Source organism: Homo sapiens, chromosome 7 (genome assembly GCF_000001405.40).
Source record: "Homo sapiens chromosome 7, GRCh38.p14 Primary Assembly".
Lineage (NCBI taxonomy): Eukaryota > Metazoa > Chordata > Mammalia > Primates > Hominidae > Homo > Homo sapiens.
The window spans coordinates 99,278,134-99,297,809 of NC_000007.14; the positions used below are offsets into that span (position 1 = coordinate 99,278,134).

Here is a 19,676-nt window from a genome sequence, read left to right on the forward strand (position 1 = left end):
GGTCTTACTATGTTGCCCAGGCTTGTCTCAAACTCCCAGCCCCAAGTGATCCTCCTATTTCGGCCTCCCAAAGTGCTGGGATTACAGGTGTAAGCCCCTGTGCCCAGCCTCCATCAAATTCTTATTTGCACACAGCAGCAGGCTGGGCACACACAGCTACAGGACCCACCTGCAGGGAAAGTCCAGGGATGGTGGCCACGAGATGGGGTGAGAACAGCATCCCCTGGAGTCAGGGCTGGGCTCTGCCATACAAACTTGGCAACTTACCCACTCCAAGCCTTGTTTTCCTCACCTGTCCAGGGAAACACAGCAAGAAAGAATAAACGATGTCATTTCTGTAGGGCGCCTGACTAAATGTCCTGCAGTGAATTCACTGCTGGGGTCCTTCTGGTTTGCAAAGCTTTTCCTATTCCTTCCCTGATTTTACTCTCACAGCCGCCCTGTAAGACACTCGATTTTCACGTGCATCGTACAGGGTAGAAAACTCAGTTTGGCAGACATTTAGAGATTTGATCAAAGTCCCAGGCCCATTGGTAGAAAACCCAGCCCTGGAAGGGGCCCAATTCCATCTCCAGTCCTCCCTGCTCTGCCACGGCCATCTCTGTAGCCGTGAGCATGTGTGGTGCTTGCATTTTCCTTCCACTGTCCCCAAAGGCCTCCAACATCATTTCTCTGTATCCTCTTCATACCCCTGAGAAGTTGCTTGAACTGATATCCCCATTTTGTTTGTGAAGGCTGAGGCTGGGCAAGACCAAAGTGATGGAAGAATCCTCCTGGGCCAGGTGCAATGGCTCATGCCCATAAACCCAACACTCTGGGAGGCCAAGGCAGGAGGAATGCTTGAGCCCAGGAGTTCAAGACCAGCCTGGGCCACATAGTGAAACCCCATCTCTACAAAAAAGTTTAAAAATTAGCCGGGTGTGGTGGCACATCTGTAGTCCCACCTACTCAGGAGGCTGAAGTGGGAGGATTGCTTAAGCCTAGAAGGTCGAGGCTGCAGTGAGCCATGATTGTGCCACTGCACCCCAGCCTGGGTGACAGAGTGAGACTCTGTCTCAAAAATAAAAATAAAAAACTTAGCTGGGCATTGCAGTGTGTACCTGTAGCCTCAGCTACTTGGGAGGATGAGGTGGGAGGACTTCTTGAGCCCAGGAGGTCTAGACTGCAGTGAGCTGTGATCACACTACTGCACTCCAGCCTGGGCAACAAAGCAAAACCCTGACTCAAAAAAAAAAAAAAAAAAAAAAAGGAGCTCGAGATAGCCCAGCCCCTTGTCCAACCCCCAGGACACATTTGTTCAGCTCAAGGCTTGTCCAGCGTCTTGGTGTGGTCTTTGCCTGGACCCTGTCCTCGACCGGGGCTCTTTCTCCCAACAGGAGCAAGAGAACCTGATGGATGCAGAGGAGCGCCTGACATGGATGATGAAGACCAAGATGGATCTAGAGAGCCAGATCTCAGACATGCGGGAGCGGCTGGAGGAGGAAGAGGGCATGGCGGCCTCACTGAGTGCCGCCAAGCGCAAGTTGGAAGGGGAGCTGAGCGACCTGAAGCGGGACCTAGAGGGCCTGGAAACCACGCTGGCCAAGACAGAGAAGGAGAAGCAGGTGAGGAGAGGCCGGGGCCCTGCCACGCTTTTCTCAGGCCACCTTCAGGGGCCATACCTAAAGCCCCTATGGTGGCTACACCCAGTGCCCTGACCACTGACCACATGGGGCAGTTTTTTGGGGGTTTTTTTTTGTTTGTTTGTTTTGCGACAGAGTCTCGCTCTCGCTGTGTCACGTAGGCTGGAGGGCAGTAGTGCGACCTCAGCTCACTGCAACCTCCCCCTCCCGGGTTCAAGTGATTCTCATACCTCAGCCTCCCGGGTAGCTGGGACTACACGTGTGGCACCACCACACCCGGCTAATTTTTGTATTTTTAGTAGAGATGGGGTTTCGCCATGTTGGCCAGACTGGTCTTGAACGCCTCACCTCAGGTGATCTGCCTGTCTTGGCCTCCCAAAGTGCTGGGATTACAGGCATGGGCCACCATACCCAGCCCACATGGGGCTATTGTAACATCTATTAATTTACAACTTAAAATGCAATTCCTCAGTTGCACAAGCCACATTGCAGGTGCTCAGCAGCCATGTGCGTTAAGTGTCACTGCATGGGACAGCAAAGGCAGAGAACATGTCCGTCACTGCAGAAAGTTCTGCTGGACAGGGCAGCTAAGGGGACTGAGCTGTTCCCATCATGGTGAAGTGTCCACCTTCAGCTGTTGAATTTCTGCCCAAACAAGCAGTTGCTGCCCCTCTGAACAGCTCCCTGGGGGAAGCCCTGGCTCCTGATGCCATCTGGCTGGCCCCTGGTCCCAAGGTCCCCTTCCTGCTATTGCAGGTGGGTTGGGTTCTCGAGCAGGGTAAGCAGGGGCTCTGCCTAAACTTGCGCTTCTCCTGCTCTGCTGCACACACAAACCACTGGGGATACAGTCAGGTGCAGACTCTGGCGAGTCTGGTGGAGCCCAAGGGTCTGTATTCCTAGCATGCTCCTAGGGGATGCCACTGCCGACATCCGGGGACCACACTTTGAGAAGCCAAGGTTCTTGCTGCTCCCCTTCACCCCCAGGGTTCTGACTTGGTTGGTCTAGGACATGCCCTGGGTGCTGGCATTTCTTAAGCTCCCAGGAGACTCAAGGGTGCACCCAAGCTGAGGACTCCCTCCAGCTTTAAGGATCTACCTCTCTCCCTGCCCTGGTTTCTAGGCCCTGGATCACAAGGTCCGTACCCTGACGGGGGACCTCTCACTCCGTGAAGACTCCATCACCAAGCTCCAGAAGGAGAAGAGGGCCCTAGAGGAGCTGCACCAGGTAGGTTTCCCTTGCATCTTCCCTCAGCCCAGCAGCTAGAGCTTGGCACAATGTGCTTTCCATTGGAGACTGGAGCCCCGAGTTCAAATCCTGGCCCTGCCGCCCCCTCAGCTTGGGGCCTTAGGGAAGTTAAGGAATCTCCGTACATCTCAGTTTCCTCAAGAGTGACATGGGTGTGGCCCCCCCTTGCTGCCTTCCTTCCAAGTTTGTTATAAGTGGGGTGACAATATAATTTGTCTTCCAAACTAGGACAGTTTTGAGAGCAAGCGGGGGAGCTATGAACAATTATGAATCATCTAGGCATGGCAGCTCACATCTTTAAACCCAGCACTTTGGGAGGCTGAGGCAGGAGGATCCCTTCAGTTTAGGAGTTTGAGACCAGCCCGGGCAACATGGCAAAACTCCCATCTCTACAAAAAAAAAATACAAAAATTAGCCAGGTCTGGTGGCACGCGCCTGTAGTCCCAGCTATTCAGGAGGCTGAGGCAGGAGGATAACTTGAGCCCAGGAGTTGCAGGTTGCAGTGAGCCAAGATTGCGCCATTGCACTCCAGCCTGGGTGACAGCGAGACCCTGTCTCAAAACAAACAAACAACAAAACAATTATGAGTTAGGTTGGGCCCATGCACACTGGAGAAAGTATGCTCACTGGAGTGGTAGGGGTGGAGTGGGGTGTATGGAACTGTCCCGTGAGCTCAAAAGCCCCAGCAAAGCCTAAGACACTGTGGCAACAACAGGCCATGAGTTCTTGAGGCCATGGGGAGACCCACCGACTTTCCCAGGCCCACTGTCACGGCTAAGGTTCCAGAATGCAGAGCCGGCTCTGACCGGCCACCAGTGCTGACCTCCAGAGAAACAGGGGCAAAGAGCCAGACAGTGGACCCCTCGTCCCTGTGTTTGCTGATACCGTGAATCCACATGTCCCCTGAGTGCCTCTCCCTGCTGCCTCGGGAACTACCGCCCTTGCCCTGTGATTTTCAAGCATATCAGACCCAGAGCCTCCTTTCATAACAAACACAGTGGATGTGTGTTATTCACACTGGTTATATTTTTGTTGTTTTGAGATGGAGTCTCACTCTGTCGCCCAGACTGGAGTGCAGTGGCGTGATCTCAGCTCACTGCAACCTCCGCCTCCCGGGTTCAAGTGATTCTCCTGCCTCAGCCTCCCAAGTAGCTGGGATTACAGGTGCCTGCCACCACACCCAGCTAATTTTTTTTGTATTTTTAGTAGAGACAGGGTTTCACCATGTTGGCCAGGCAGGCCTCGAACTCCTGACCTCAAGTGATCCTCCCACCTGAGCCTCCCAAAGTGCTGGGATTACAGGCGTGAGCCACCACACCCGGCCTCACAGTGGTTATGTTCTGTAAAGTTGCCATAAACACTGAATTAACCAATAATAATTCAATATTGAATTAGCAAATATGAACCACTGCTCCTAGGGAAAATATAGGGTTAGACTCTTGCATGCCTCTGGTCATAACATTTTATTTTTTTTTATTTTTATTTTTTTGAGACAGGGTCTAGCTCTGTCACCAAGGCTGGAGTGCAGTGGTATGATCATGGCTCACTGCAGCTTTGACTTCCCAGGCTCAGGTGATCCTCCCACCTCAGCCTCCTGAGTAACTGGGATTATAGGCATGTACCACTGCACCCCACTAATTTTTGTTTGTTTTTGAGATGGAGCTTCGCACTCTCACCTGAGCTGGAGTGCAGTTTTCTAAAAACTAGAAAAAAAATTAGCTGGGAGGCTGAGGCGAGAGGGTTGCTTGAGCCCAAGAGGTGGAGGCTGCAGTTAGCTATGATCGTACCACTGTACTCCAGTCTGAGTGACAGAGGAAGATCCTATCTCAAAAAAAAAAAAATGTAGTGCATATTCAATGAAAAAGAACATTGAGTTACATGTAAAAGGGTGCTGGGCTCTAGGTTTAGAAGAGTAGAAATGGTTGTTTTACTCACATAAGTGCCCGGGTGGGACATCAGGAATGTGGACTACAGAGTTCTTCATGGTACCAGATTGTCCAGAGCAAAATGGGATGTCCGGCATTGCTGGAGTCATCCACTAAATCTCAGAGGAACCTCCAATCACTGTGACAACCAGAAGCACCCCACCTATTTCCCATATGCCCCCTGGGGAACCAGAGATAGGGTCTCACTGTTGCTCAGGCTGAAATGCAGTGGTGCCATCATAGCTCACTGCAGCCCCAACCTCCTGGGCTCGTGATCGTCCTGCCTCAGTCTCCTGAGTGGCTGGCACTACAGACGTGTGCCACCACACCTGGCTAATTTTTGTAGAGACAGGGTCTGACTCTGTCACCCAGGCTCGGGTGCAGTGGTACGATCATAGCTCACTGCAGCCTCAACCTCCCTGGCTCAAGCAATTGACCTCCCTGATGGGTGGCTCTGGTCCATCTGCTCTGGCCTTACCCAGCGCCCAGGAGCAGGTGGTCAGTACCTACTCACTGAAGTCAACTGAACTCCCCAAAGCCTGGGAGCTGCATAGCTCAGAAGCGACGACTGAGGATCAGGACTGTTCAGCTGCTCCCACTGGGCCTCGTGGCACTCACGTGTGTATCTGTCCTTCCAGAAAACCCTGGACGACCTACAGGCTGAGGAGGACAAGGTGAACCACCTGACCAAAAATAACAGCAAGCTGAGCACGCAGATCCATGAGGTAATACCCATTGCTGTGGCCACCTCTACAACTCCAAGGCCAGATCCCTCTGGGGGCACGGGGTCCGAAGATTAGTTTTGAGAACTGGACCAACACATCCCCCGGGGCGTGAGGGCCCTTCTGATGCCACAGCTAAAGGATCGGACCCAGTCTGGTTCCTTCTTGCCTTCTGACCTCAGACTCTCCTCGTCTACCTTCTCTTGCTGTTCTTGTCTCTGTAGCTGGAGGATAACTGGGAGCAGGAAAAGAAAATCCGGGCGGAGGTGGAAAAGGCTCGTCGGAAAGCTGAGAGTGACCTGAAGATGACCATCGACAACCTCAATGAGATGGAGCGTTCCAAGCTGGATCTCGAGGAGGTGGTGAAAAAGTATGTCTTGTCGTCGTTCGTTTTGTCCATCACAATGGTAGCAATAGCTGGAGCTGCCTGGAGGGTGCCAGGAGCCAGGCACTGTATGGAGAGCCTCACAAACATTCCTGCATGTCCCAAGCACCTGGCAGGCATGGAGGATATGCAGAGAGGTAGGGGCTGCCCTGTCTGCAGGGAATGCCCAGTGTCACACAATACCTGGTGGGCACTGGGGAGGAGACAAGCGCCACCACCCCAGGGAACACTGAGGACTCAGCAGGGCAGGGAGGCGTCATAAAAGCCTATGACCATGTTGGGTACAGTGGCTCACACCTGTAATCCCAGCACTTTGGGATGCGAAGGCAGGAGGATGGCTTGAGGCCAGGAGCTCAAGACCAGCCTGGGCAACATAGCAAGACCCCGTCTACAAAAAATACAAAAATTAACTGGGCATGATGGAGCCAGCCTGTGGCCCCAGCTACTAGAGAGGCTGAGGTGGGAGGATCACTTAAGCCCAGGAGGTCAAGGCTGCAGTGAGCCATGATCATGCCACTGCACTGCATTCTGGGCGACAGAGCAACACCCTGTCTCAAAAAAAAGTGTCACATTAGTAAATGTGTGAATGAATGAATGGATGATGAAACACCTGAGGAGCTCATTCAGGGGTCTAACTGCTCTGTAGGGTGAGACCTTCTGGGCTGTCACTACAGAAGGCCAGAAGGGGCTGGGAGGTACGTGCTTTTCGGCAGGTTCAAGGCCTCCTCTGGCAGCCCAGGCGACATTCCCTCGCCAGCTTGCTGGTCTACCCTCAGAGCCTTTCCTCAGGAGACCAACCCTTCCCTTGCAGGAGGGATTTGGAAATAAACTCTGTCAACTCGAAATATGAGGATGAGCAGTCTCTGAATTCCACGCTGCAGCGGAAACTGAAGGAGCACCAGGTATGTCCAGGACCGAGAAGCATGAGCTCTCTGTCAGAAATGCACTTCTCTGAACGTTTTGTTCATGTCAGCTACTTGGTGGCTGAGGTTTCCTGAGGAGCAAGACTGCCATAGAGTCCTTGGAGATGGACCCATGTTCCCCTCACTAGGGGTGAAATCCGTACAATGGTTATGAGGCCCTCCAACTGCTCCCCGCCTGACCTCATCACCGAGTGTTTCCCTCCACTCTATCCAGCCATGCTGGCTCCTGGCTGGGTGTCACACATGCCAGGCCCCCTCCTGCCTGCCCCGGCACCTTTGCACTTGCTCTCTGGGATCTGCCTCTCTCTGCTTTTGACAGTGGCTGTCATATTCTCACATCCCTATTTTCCGTCCTAAAAGGCTAAGGGGCTGACTTACTAACTTTGCCTGGCAGAGATGAATCCCCTCCCTCCTCTGTCTGCTAGGACCGAATTGAAGAGCTGGAAGAAGAACTAGAAGCTGAGAGGGCCATGAGAGCCAAGGTAAATGAAATACGTTTCCCCTTCTTGAGTCAAAAGACCTAACGGCAGTCACACATCCAACCATGAATAGAAACCTCCGCTAAGGAAACCAGTAGAGAAGGCAGGTGTCCAGCTAAAAAGTCTAGTTGCTTCTGGAGCACCTACTGTGTGCCAGGGACTGAACTGCACATCCACATTAATCATGACGTGAAAGGCAGATGCTCTGTGTGGCTTGAGTCCAGAGGAGAAGAGGCTGGTTCTACCTGAGACAGATGGGGAAGAAACACTTGACCTCAAAGATAGAATTCAACAGGCAGAAGCAAGGAGAAAGGTCTGGGCAAAGGGAATAAAATAGCACCTACCTTCATTGGGATGAAGGTGTAAACAGAGAAAGCACGTGTTAGCAAGAGCAGAGCATGGAGGGAGGCTTGAGCGTGGGGATCCTACAGGACGTGAGCCCAGAAAGCTGGTGGGAGACAAATCACAGCGTACCTAACCCCAAATTCAGCCAAATTGGACAGGTGGTAGGTAGGATGGGCACTAATGCCCGCCCAGTGTGGGCAAGACAGTGTCCTTTACTAAGCCTGTGGGATGACAGGCAGGGCACAAGGCCCCCCAGGCATAGAATCCTGGCTTCTCAAAGGTGAAGCAGTCATCATGCTCTTTACTGGAGAAAAAGGAGCTCTGGGTGATTATCATCGGTATCATTAAATCTCATCCCATGGCCGGGAAGAGTGGCTCATGCTTGTAATCCAAATACCTTGGGAGACCAAGGCAGGAGGATCACTTGAGACCGGGAGACCAGCTTGGGCAACATGGTGAAACCCATCTCTACAAAAAATTTAAAAATTTGCTGGGTATGATGGCATGTGCCTGTAGTTGCAGATACTTGGGAGGCTAAGGTTAGAGGATTGTTTGAGCCAGGCAGGTGAAGGTTGCAGTGAGTCGAGATGGTGCTGCTGCACTCCAGCCTGGGCCACAGAGGAAGGCTCTATCTTAAAATAAAAACTTTCATCCCAGGTGGAGAAACAACGCAGTGACCTGTCCCGGGATCTTGAAGATCTCAGTGACAGGTTGGAGGAAGCGGGTGGAGCCACATCTGCTCAGGCACCCATCCCAGGGGGCCCAGAAACCCCCAGCTCTGCTTGCATTTAGGGGAAAAAATTGCTGGACTGTGAGCAGTGGGATCAAGACCAGTTCGTTCTTGCTAGGTTCCTGAGATGGACTTGAGGAGAAACCAACTAATAATTTAAAAATGAGGCCTGGAACAGTGGCTCACGCCTGTAATCCCAACACCTGGGGAGGCAAAAGCAGAAGGATCACTTGAGCCCAGGGATTTCTGACCAGCCTGGGCAACACAGCAAAAGCCCATCTCTCAAAAAAAAAATTAGCTGGGCATGGTGGCATGTTCCTGTAGTTCAAGCTACTCAAGAGGCTAAAGAAGGAGGATCACTTGAGCCCAGGGAGGTTGAGGCTGTGGTGAGCCATGATGGCACCACTGCACTCCAGCCTGGGTGACAGAGCAAGACCCTGTCTCTCAAAGACAAACAGAAAGAGTTTGCTACTCACAGTTCCCAAGAGGAAAGGGCACAGCAGGCCACGCAGGGCCAGAGAGGCACTGGGGCTGGTTAGGAGGCAGACAGCTGGGGGGAAGAATGTAGGCAAAGGCCTTTACTCTGGCTCCCATGGGAAGGAACAGGTGAGGCAGGGTGAACAGGCTCCTGAATGGCCAGTTTGGACAATCTCAGTGGACTGTGGGGCTGACCCTAGTTGTCGGTACCTGGACCTGGAGTGATAAGGGCAGTAGTATAGTGAGTAGAAATGTGAGAGTCCGGCCGGGCACGGTGGCTCACGCCTGTACTCCCAGCACTTTGGGAGGCTGAGGTGGGTGGATCACCTGAGGTTAGGAGTTCGAGATCAGCCTGGTAAACATGGTGAAACCCCATCTCTACTAAAAACACAAAAAATTAGCTGGGCATGGTGGTGGGCACCTGTAATCCCAGCTACTTGGGAGGCTGAGGCAGGAGAATCACCTGAACCCAGGAGGCGGAGGTTGCAGTGAGCCGAGATGTGCCATTGCACTGCAGCCTGGGCAACAAGAGTGAAACTTCTTCTCAAAAAAAAAAAAAAAAAAAAAAGGCATCAGTCATTAGCTTAGGGCCCACCCTAAACCAGTATGACATCTTAACTGGCTCCATCTACAAAGACACTATTTCCAAATCAGGTCCCATTCATAGGTACCCAGGGTTAGGACTTGAGTATATCTTTTTGGAGGGCACAATTTAACACACAACACCTCTAAACAAATCCTGTGGGCAACCCCCACCCCCCAAAGGCTAAACATTGGCATTTCAAGCAGGACTTCTTTTAGCGAGGTACAGGAATATCAGGGGACCACCGAGCAGCTGGGCGGTGTCCACCCGGAAAAGGCTGGCACTGGCCAGTTCTGCTAAGCTGCTCCTCCTCTACCCCAGATCGAGCAGAACCGCAAGCGGGAGGCTGAGCTGCTGAAGCTGCGGCGGGAGCTGGAAGAGGCCGCCCTGCAGAGCGAGGCGACGGCCTCCACACTGCGCAAGAAGCACGTGGACTCCATGGCCGAGCTGACGGAGCATGTGGAGAGCCTGCAGAGGGTCAAGTCCAAGCTAGAGAAAGATAAACAGGTCATGAAGGCTGAGATTGATGACCTCAATGCCAGCATGGAGACGATACAGAAGTCCAAGGTGAATAACCTAACTGTGGGCCGGACGCAGTGGCTCACTCCTGTAATCCCAGCACTTTGGGAGGCTGAGGCAGGAGGATTGCTTTTGAGAGGCCAGGAGTTGGGGACCAGCCTGGACAACATAGCCAGACCTCGTCTCCTCAAAAAATGAAATTAGCCAGGGATGGTAGCATGTGCCTGTAGTCCTAGCTACTCAGGAGGCTGAGGCAGGAGGATCGCTTGAGCCCAGGGGGTTGAGACTGCAGTGAGTATGACTGCACCACTGCACTCCAGCCTGGGCAACAGAGTAAGACCCTGTCTCTAAAATAAAATAAAATAAAATAAAATAACCTGCTGGGCACAGTGGCTTACGCCTGTAATCCCAGCACTTTGGGAGGCTGAGGCAGGCAGATCACCTGAGGTCACAAGTTCAAGACCAGCCTGGCCAACATGGTGAAACCCTGTCTCTACTAAAAATACAAAAATTGCTTGAACCTGGGAGGCAGAGGTTGCATTGAGCCGAGATTGCGCCACTGCACTCCAGCCTGGGCGACAGAGCAAGACTCTGTCTCAAAAATAAAATAAAATAAAATAAAAAATAAAATAACCTGTGCTTCGATTTCTTCATCTGTAACATGAAGATGATTGTCATAATCCCCACCTTAGAGCGCTACTGTGAGGGCTGCAATAGTCTCTGGCACATAAGAGTGCTCAATAAGCCAGGCACAGTGGCTAACGCCTGTAATCCCAGCACTTTGAGAGGCCAAGGCAGGCAGATCACTTGAGCCCAGTTCAAGACCAGCCTGGGCAACACAGTGAAACCCTGTCTCTACAAAAAAATAAAACTAATTAGCCAGGGATGGTGGCATGCACCTGTGGTCCCAGCTACTCAGGAGGCTGTGGTGAGAGGATGGCTTGAGCCCAGGATGTCGAGGCTACAGTGAGCTCTGATTGCACCTATGCACTCCAGCCGGGGTGATGGAGTGATACCCTGTCTCAAAAAAAAAAAAAAAATGGTGAGCCATTTGGGGTTTCTGAGACAGGGGCATACCTCCAGGCAGGTAGCCTGGGAGGCACACAGGAAGAACAGGGCAAAAATCAAAGGGGAGGTAGGGAGGGCTTGGCCTCCCCCACCCGCAACTTCCCCACTGAGTTCATCCTTCCTGAGCAGATGAACGCCGAGGCCCACGTCAGAAAGCTGGAAGACAGCTTATCAGAAGCCAACGCCAAGGTGGCAGAGCTAGAGCGAAACCAAGCAGAAATCAATGCCATCAGGACCCGCCTCCAAGGTGAGCCCTCTCCGCCCTGAGCTTGCTAAGGAGCAGTGCATGGAAAGGAACTGGGATTCTCAAGGAAACAGAGCTTTCTTGGCCTTGGAAGATTCCCGTCCAAACCCCTTGTGATGAGAGGAGGAGATTTTATTCCACCTGCTGAATGTTCCAAGTAACATCTTTACAATGCAAAACAGGGAACACAATTCAAAGCATTTTCGTATCCATTCTCTCACCTTCCCAGTGAGATCAGTGGGAGAGGCATTCATGCTGACGAAATACAATTTTCAAACATTTTTAAACATGACCCACATACTAATATAAAGCGAACATGTGTCAACGATTTATTTAACTCCTTAATGAGGGAGCCAGAAAAATGGTAAAGCTGCCTTCAAAGAGCATTTGAAAGGCAGAGATTTACAGTCAGCTGGGAAAAGAAACGCTAAAATAACTTTGCTAAGTTAGATGCAGAACTAGTTAATATCCTATAGGACAATAATCCTGTGACCTCTGGGTTTAGTTTAGGATTTTTTTTTTCCCTGCCAGAAGAAACACACCTTTGTCATACAGGTGCATCTTTGCATCTCTATAACAAAAATAATTGGCAATTTATCAATGTATAAGTTAATTTCTAACTTTGCAGAAGCTGTGCTCTAATCACACAGGGGTAAACAGTAAGTCAAACAAAGGTACATTTCCTTAGAGAACTGAATAGTCTACAGGTGGGCCTGTTAGTGCTCCGGTGTGACATCAAGAGAACTTGCAGGCAGCCTTTGGCCTTACTTCTCACATCTGGAATTCTTTAACAATATCCTGGCTGGGTGCAGTGGCTCACACTTGTAATTCCAGCACTTTGGGAGGCCAAGGCGGGAGGATTACTTGAGGCCAGGAGTTTGAGACCAGCCTGGGCAACATAGCAAGACCCCCATCTCTACAAAACAATGTTTTTAAATAGCTGGGTGTGGTGGCGCACACTGGTGGTCCCAGCTACTTGGGAGGCTGAGGCAGGAGGATTGCTTGAGCCCAGGAGTTCAAGGCTGCAATGAGTTATGATTGTGCCACTGCACTCCAGCCTGGGCAACAGAGCAGGACCCTGTCTCAAAAAAAAAAAAAAAAAAAAAATCAATATCCAGCCGTGTGCAGTGGCTCATGCCTGTAATCCCAGCACTTTGGGAGGCCGAGGTGGGCAGATCACTTGAGGTCAGGAGTTTGAGACCAGCCTGGCCAACGTGGTAAAACCCGGTCTCTACTAAAAATACAAAAAAAATTAGCTGGGCATGGTGGTACACACTTGTAATCCCAGTTACTCAGGAGGCTGAGGTAGGAGAATCACTCGAACCCGGAAGCCAGAGGTAGCAGTGAGACGAGAGCACGCCACTGTACTCCAGCCTGGGTGACAAGAATGAAACTTGGTCTCAAAAAAAAAAAAAAAATCAATATCCCCATTTGATGGATAAGAAAAATGAAGCTCAGTGAGCTCAGTGACTTACAGGGTAGAACTGGAAATCCTTGCTTTTTCTCTCAGGCTCATGAACTTCTTCCTGGCCTCTGGCTCCAGCAATCATTCCACAAATGACAGGAGTGTAGGTTCTGGAATTGTGACAAATACATTTTACAAAGGAAATACTGTGTCCCACTGTTTCTCCAAACTCTTCTGCTGCATCTCCTGACATGTAGGAGATAGGGGTTTCATTATGTGAGGCCCCTAAGTCCATGCAGGTTACCTGGATCTTGGCAACCCTTGGGCGCTTGCCTTTCTCCTGGGTTCACTTAATTTGGAGGCTAGAGTGGTGATCTACTGTGCTCCCCATTCCAGCTCCATTGGCCAAGCCACCATATTTATTGGGTACTTTAGGAGCAATGCCCTGGGGAACTTTGGATCTGGCTGGGGAACCAGTTCTTCATCCAATATTTCTTCCATTTCCTTCTCACCCAGCTGAAAATAGTGAACTGAGCAGGGAATATGAAGAGTCCCAGAGCCGGCTCAATCAAATCCTACGGATAAAGACATCTCTGACGTCACAAGTGGATGATTACAAGAGGCAGCTGGATGAAGAGTCAAAGGTTTGTTTGGACGTGGGGTTGCGGTGGAGACAGAGCTGCCGCCTTAAAGTTATAGGTTACAGCTGGGGTTGGTGGCTCATGCCTGTAATCCCAGAACTTTGGGAGGCCTAGGTGGGAGGTTCGCTTAAGGCCAGGAGTTCGAGACCAGCCCGAACAACACAGCAAGACCCCCCCCCACCCCCCCCACCCCCAACGCCATCTCTACCAAAATAAAAAATAAAAAAGCTGCTGGGCATGGTGGCTCACACCTGTAATCCCAGCACTTTGACAGGCCAAGGTGGGCAGATCACCTGAGGTCAGGAGTTCGAGACCAGTCTGGCCAACATGGCAAAACCTGGTCTCTACTAAAAATACAAAAATTAGCTGGGCATGGTGGTGAGTGCCTATAATCCCAGCTACTTGGGAGGCCGACACAGGTGGAGGCAGAGGTTGCAGGGAGCCGAGATCGCACCATTGCACTCCAGCCTGGGTGACAAGAGTGAAACTCGGTCTCAGGAAAAAAAAAAGTTTCCAGGTATGGTGTTGTATACCTATAGTCCCAGCTAAAGAAAGTTACAGATTATGAAGATGTCAAAGGAATACAAAAAGTATTTGATATCGTAGCAAGTAAAAAAGCTAACTACAAAACTGTAGTATGTGATGTGTATAACTAAATGAAATTACATATCCTTGTGGACAATAATAGAAAGAAAAGAAGTCATAGGATGAAAATTAAAACCCCGATGGTTTGGATTGTGGGATCATGTTTCTTTTCCCCCTTTCGCCTGCCATCACTGCTGCTCCAGTGTTACGTGTATCTAAGTGGTGGCCCTGCGGGCTGTGGAAAGCCCCCACGGGCGCCTGACAGGCTGGTCCCCACAGTCTCGCAGCACCGCCGTGGTGAGTCTGGCCAACACCAAGCACGACCTGGACCTAGTAAAGGAGCAGCTGGAGGAGGAGCAGGGAGGCAAGTCAGAGCTGCAGCGCCTCGTGTCCAAACTCAACACTGAGGTCACCACCTGGAGGACCAAGTACGAGACCGATGCCATCCAGAGGACAGAGGAGCTGGAGGAGACCAAGTGAGTGTGGTCTTCCTGTTGAGAGAGCCAGGTGGGCTGGGCAGGTGGTGCTGGGGGCCTCACCACCATGTCAGTCACTGCTGAGGCCAGGGCCAAGCCCAGGAAAAGGACGTTCACAGGCTGCTTTAAGAGGAGGACAATGTGTCTGGACAAAGGAGCCTGCTCTGTGGGCCAGCTATGGTGGCTCATGCCTGTAATTCCAGCACTTTGGGAGGCCAAGGTGGGAGGATTGCTTGAGCCCAGAAGTTCGAGGCCAGCCCGGGCTACATGGTGAGATCCTCATCTCTACAAAAATTACAAAATTAGCCAGGCATGGTGGCACGTGCCTGTAGTCTCAGCTATTTGGGAGACTAAAGTGAGAGGATTGCTTGAGCCCAGGAATTGGAGGCTGCAGTGAGCAATGATCGAGCCACTGCACTCCAGCCTGGATAACAGAGCAGGATCCTGTCTCTAAAAAAAAAAAAAAAACTACATAAGTGGACACCTGAGGAAATAAGGGGGGACATGAAAGTGGCTCTGGGCCTCTCTCTGGTGTAAAAGGAGGCTGGCCTGGGTGTCCCTGGGCCCATGCACGCAGGGAAGCCCTGTGAGTGAGCCACCCTGGGCCAGGCAGCAGAGGGGATCCATGACAAGTTAAATCAAAGAACATGGTCAACTTAACAAACTCCTCTATAGACTTTTCTGGATTCTCTGAAAAAATGGCCAAATTTTTTCTTGTATAAAGCCAAATTAGGCATAGAAAATGGCACATGTGCTCTAAGTGTTTCCGGGATCCCAGCCTGCTGGCTGGTCCCATCCATCCACTGAAATTTCTGCTAATATGATAGCAAATAAGGCATAGTGACTTCCAGCTGATGCAATACTTTCATCTAAAGCTCTAAGCTAAATTTGCCTTCCTGCAACTTCCACCTCTGTCCTTCAGGCCTTTGCTATGGAGGCTGCTGGGCACTACCTGGTCCTCCCCCAAGGCTCCCACTCCTGGGCTAAACCTAAATCTCAACCCCTAAGCTTGTCTCTGCCCCAGACACCCTCAGGGCCCCTCCATTCCCTGGCTTAGACCTTTGCTCCTGTGTCCCCTTCTCAGAGAGTCTCTCCTGAGTCTGTATTTGACATTGTCACCCCCTCCCACCTGGACTGCCTGTCCCCTTCCTGGCTCTATTTGTCACTGCAGTGCTTATGTTCTATAGGGCATGTATTGCCTGCCTCCTCCCAGCTCCAGAACAAACATTTCGTTTGTTAGGGCAGGTATCCTAGCTTGTTTTATTCACTGCTGCATCCCTAACACCTGCAACAATCCTTGACGCAGGGTAGAGAAAGTAAGTGTTTGTTGAATGAATAAATGAGAGAGTGAATGGACAGCTGTGGCTGTCCTGTAAACACTCTGCATCGTTTCCAATGTTGACACCAGAGCTTAGTACCATGCCCACCACACTCTGACCCTGGCAGTGTGGAGATGGTGCCTGTAAGTGCCTATGTTTCCTTGACAGCCCCTCTGGCCCTCATTTGCAGGAGGAAGCTGGCCGCCAGGCTTCAGGAGGCAGAAGAAGCAGCTGAAACTGCCCAGGCCCGGGCCGCCTCCCTCGAGAAAAATAAGCAGAGACTCCAGGCAGAAGTTGAGGACCTCACCATCGACTTGGAGAAGGTCAGAGAGTCAAATGCTCAAAGCTGCCTATTTACCGGGGCAGAGAGCCCACAGCAGGGCTAGGGCAAGGCTGTCACATGTCTGGGGTCATCAGGAAGAAACACATGGTTCAAGAAGGTGCAATGCAGGGGTGCCTTCAGGAGCTTGCTGGACAACGGCTGCTGCTTGAGCACGTGTTCATGAACTCTTCCGAGATCTAACATTCAACAAGCTACTGTTTAAACAGGGCCACAAAACCAAGCACAATGGCCCATGCCTCTAATCCCAACACACTGGGTGGCCAAGGCAGGAGGACCACTTTAGCCAAGGAGTTCAAGACCAGCCTGAACAACACAGGGAGACCCTGTCTCAAAAAAAAAAAAAAAAAAAAAAAAGAAAAAGAAAAAGAAAAAAAGAAAAAAAAAATATATATATATATTTTTTTTCTTTTTTGAGATGGAATTTGGCTCTTGTTGCCCAGGCTGGAGTACAGTGGCGTGATCTCAGCTCACTGCAACCTCCACCTCCTGGATTCAAGCAATTCTCATTCCTCAGCCTCCTGAGAAGCTGGGATTACAGTGCCCACCACCACGCCCAGCTAATTTTTTGTATTTTTAGTAAAGACAGGGTTTCATCATGTTGGCCAGGCTGGTCTCGAACTCCTGACCTCAAGTGATCCACCCGCCTTGGCCTCCCTAAGTGCCAGGATTATAGGCGTGAGCCACTGTGCCCAGCCCCCAAAAAAGTTTTAAATTAAAAATTTAGCCAGGTGTGGTGGCACATGCCTGTGGTCCCAACTACTTGGGAAGCTAAGGCATGAGGATCATTTGAACCAGGGGTTCAAGGCTGCAGTGAGCTATGACTGCACCACTGCACTCCAGCCTGGTTGACAGAGTGAGACCCTGTCTCAAATAAATAAATAGGGTCACAAGCAGGGTAAAATTTGCCCCTGAAAGTTACATAATACGGCCGGGCGCGGTGGCTCATGCCTGTAATTCTAGCACTTTGGGAGGCCGAGGCAGGCGGATTGCCTGAGCTCAGGAGTTCGACACCAGCCTGGGCAACTCGGTGAAATCCCGTCTCTAATAAAATACAAAAAATTAGCCGGGCGTGGTGGCAGGCACCTGTAGTCCCAGCTACTCGGGAGGCTGAGGCAGGACAATCACTTGAACCCAGGAGGTGGAGTTGCAGTGAGCCAAATCGTGCCACTGCACTCCAGCCTAGGTGACAGAGCGAGACTCTGGCTCCAAAAAAAAAAGAAAAGAAAGTTACATGATGCACCTTCCCTGTTCCCCTCTCTCTTACACAAACTACATCCCACATACTTTGCGTGGCTAACTATTCCTATTTGCATCCCTGGTTCAAACTGAGTTGCCAGTCTCTATGAGAATTAAATAGGATTTCCACTGGCATACACCTCTCTGGTCTTGGTCTAGATGGAACCATGATTCATGCTGGCCGTGAGGAGCCACATGCAGCCCAATACAAGAACGTGGCTCCATGAAGTGGCCACGTAGGCAGGAGGTCATATCCATGTGAGAGGTTTCAGAAAAAAAGTTCTGGCAAGGTGGTTCATGCTTGTCATCCCAGGACTTTGGGAGGCTGAGGTGGGAAGATTGCTTAAGTCCAAGAGGCTGAGGCTACAGTTAGCTATGATTATGCTACTGTACTCCAGCCTGGGTGACAGAGTGAGACCTCATCTCTTGGAAAAAAAAAAAAAAAAAAAAAAAGGCTGGGCACAGTGGCTCAAGCCTATAATCTCAGCACTTTGGGAGGCTGAGGCAGGCAGATCACCTGAGGTCAGGAGTTTGAGAGCAGCTTGGCCAACATGGTGAAACCCCATCTCTACTAAAAATACAAAAAGTAGCCGGACGTGGTGGCGCACGCCTGTGTAATCCCAGCTACTCAGGAGGCTGAGGCAGGATAATCGCTTGAACCCAGGAGACGGAGGTTGCAGTGAGCCATGATCATGCCACTGCACTACAGCCTGGGTGACAGGGTGAGACTCCATCTCAATTTAAAAAAAAAAAAAAAAAAAAAAGTCCTAAAACTCAAAAAGATTTTGCTACCCCACGAAAGAAACAAAGCAAAACTTTATAAAAGCTAATATAGCACAACAGCAAATAGTTGCCAGGGAGTTATGAGACGGATGAAATCTATAGAAAAATAAAGTCTAAGAATAGTAAGTTTTGAGTTGATGTGTAGTGTATATTACTACATTACAGTGAAATATATTAAGGGGAGTTAGGCTGAATGTCATAAATCTGGGAAGGCCGCTGTGGCCCAAACTCCTCATTTTACACCTGAGAGAATTCTAACCTGGGAAAATAAGGTGGAATGTCCCAGGCCACACATCTCTCGGGGGAAGTTTTAGAACTGGCATGCAGCTCTTTGCAGACTCTCTGTTCTGTGCTTCTGCCATAGCTGTTGAATTACATTCCAATTCCCAAGGAGTCCGTAGTCTCAAGAGTTACTGGGGAAAGGGAGGGAAGAGAGGTTGGTGGGGGGGTGGGAGTAGGGGACAGAGGCAAGGAGGTTGGACCCCTAGAGGCCATTTCCAACTTTCCCTAGGCCAATGCTGCAGCTGCTGCCCTGGACAAGAAGCAGAGGCTCTTTGACAAGATGCTGGCTGAGTGGCAGCAGAAGTGTGAGGAGTTGCAGGTGGAAGTGGACAGCTCGCAGAAGGAGTGCCGCATGTACATGACAGAGAGCTTCAAGATCAAGACTGCCTACGAGGAGTCTCTGGAGCATCTAGAGTCCGTGAAGAAGGAGAATAAGACCCTGCAGGGTGAGTCTGAGGGCAGGTGGATGGGATGGGCCTGTAGGGAGGGGACACAGCCAGAGTCCCCTTCATCCTGAGCACATCATCAGTTGAGTACCTGGCACATAGTAGGTGCTCAATAAATGTTGACTTTCTAGCAAGTGCTTTGTAGAAGCACTTCAGCATTCAGCAGTGTAACTTTAGGCGAGTTGCTTAATCTTTCTGTGCCTCACTTTCCTCATCTATAAAATGAGGAAATAGCCGGGTGTGATAGCTCATGCCTGTAATCCCAGCACTTTGGGAGGCTGAGGCGGGCGGATCACTTGAGGTCAGGAGTTCAAGACCAGCCTGACCAACATGGTGAAACCCCGTCTCTACTAAAAATACAACAAATTAGCAGGGCATGGTGGCGGGCGCCTGTAGTCCCAGCTACTTGGGAGGCTGAGGCAGGAGAATCGCTTGAACCTGGGAGGTGGATGTTGCAGTGAGCCGAGATCATGCCACTGTACTCCAGCCTGGGCAACAGAGCAACACTATGTCCCAAAAATAAATTAATTAATTAATTAATTTAATTTAATGAGGAAATAATTCTACCCTCCTTATAAGGTTGTCATGACAATGAAATAAGATTATGGTCAGGTGTGGTGGCTCATGTCTGCAATCCTGGCACTTTGGGAGGCCTGCTTCTTACCCCAATGGAGGAATGACGGTGCCACCTGCCATGACCCTGGAATGCCGAGTCTTATTAACATGAATATTTCTATCTCAGAGGAGATAAAGGATCTCATTGATCAGCTGGGTGAGGGAGGAAGGAGTGTGCATGAACTGCAGAAGTTGAAGAAAAAATTGGAGATGGAAAAGGAAGAACTCCAGGTGGCCCTGGAAGAAGCTGAGTCTTCCCTGGAGGTAACCATGGGGT

At 50.7% G+C, this 19,676-nt stretch overlaps 1 protein-coding gene and 1 long non-coding RNA gene across 6 annotated transcripts in view; one reads left to right on the plus strand and one right to left on the minus strand.

Moving 5' to 3' along the window:
- MYH16 (myosin heavy chain 16) overlaps window positions 1–19,676 on the plus strand; it is a 72,300-nt gene that overhangs the window by 39,305 nt on the left and 13,319 nt on the right. For both annotated transcript variants that reach the window (NR_002147.3, NM_001431356.1), the window contains 13 exons: window positions 1,377–1,604; window positions 2,743–2,847; window positions 5,432–5,518; window positions 5,740–5,885; window positions 6,712–6,802; window positions 7,249–7,305; window positions 9,759–10,004; window positions 11,154–11,271; window positions 13,190–13,317; window positions 14,179–14,375; window positions 15,885–16,017; window positions 18,568–18,784; window positions 19,527–19,663. Coding sequence is in view for 1 of the 2 variants with exons in the window: in NM_001431356.1 (NP_001418285.1) it covers window positions 1,377–1,604; window positions 2,743–2,847; window positions 5,432–5,518; window positions 5,740–5,885; window positions 6,712–6,802; window positions 7,249–7,305; window positions 9,759–10,004; window positions 11,154–11,271; window positions 13,190–13,317; window positions 14,179–14,375; window positions 15,885–16,017; window positions 18,568–18,784; window positions 19,527–19,663 (1,890 nt within the window). In the remaining variant the exon portion in view is untranslated. The remainder of the gene's footprint in view (window positions 1–1,376; window positions 1,605–2,742; window positions 2,848–5,431; window positions 5,519–5,739; window positions 5,886–6,711; window positions 6,803–7,248; window positions 7,306–9,758; window positions 10,005–11,153; window positions 11,272–13,189; window positions 13,318–14,178; window positions 14,376–15,884; window positions 16,018–18,567; window positions 18,785–19,526; window positions 19,664–19,676) is intronic.
- Window positions 83–19,676, minus strand: part of LOC105375421 (uncharacterized) — a 47,593-nt gene continuing 27,999 nt past the window's right edge. For 2 of the 4 annotated variants that reach the window (XR_007060450.1, XR_927797.4), the window contains 2 exons: window positions 12,744–12,843; window positions 9,677–9,926 (listed from right to left, as the gene is read on the minus strand). This is a non-coding gene — a long non-coding RNA (uncharacterized LOC105375421). Of the gene's footprint in view, window positions 293–9,676; window positions 9,927–11,574; window positions 12,844–19,676 lie in introns of those variants that run through there. The other 2 variants (XR_927798.3, XR_007060449.1) reach the window with 2 other exon arrangements.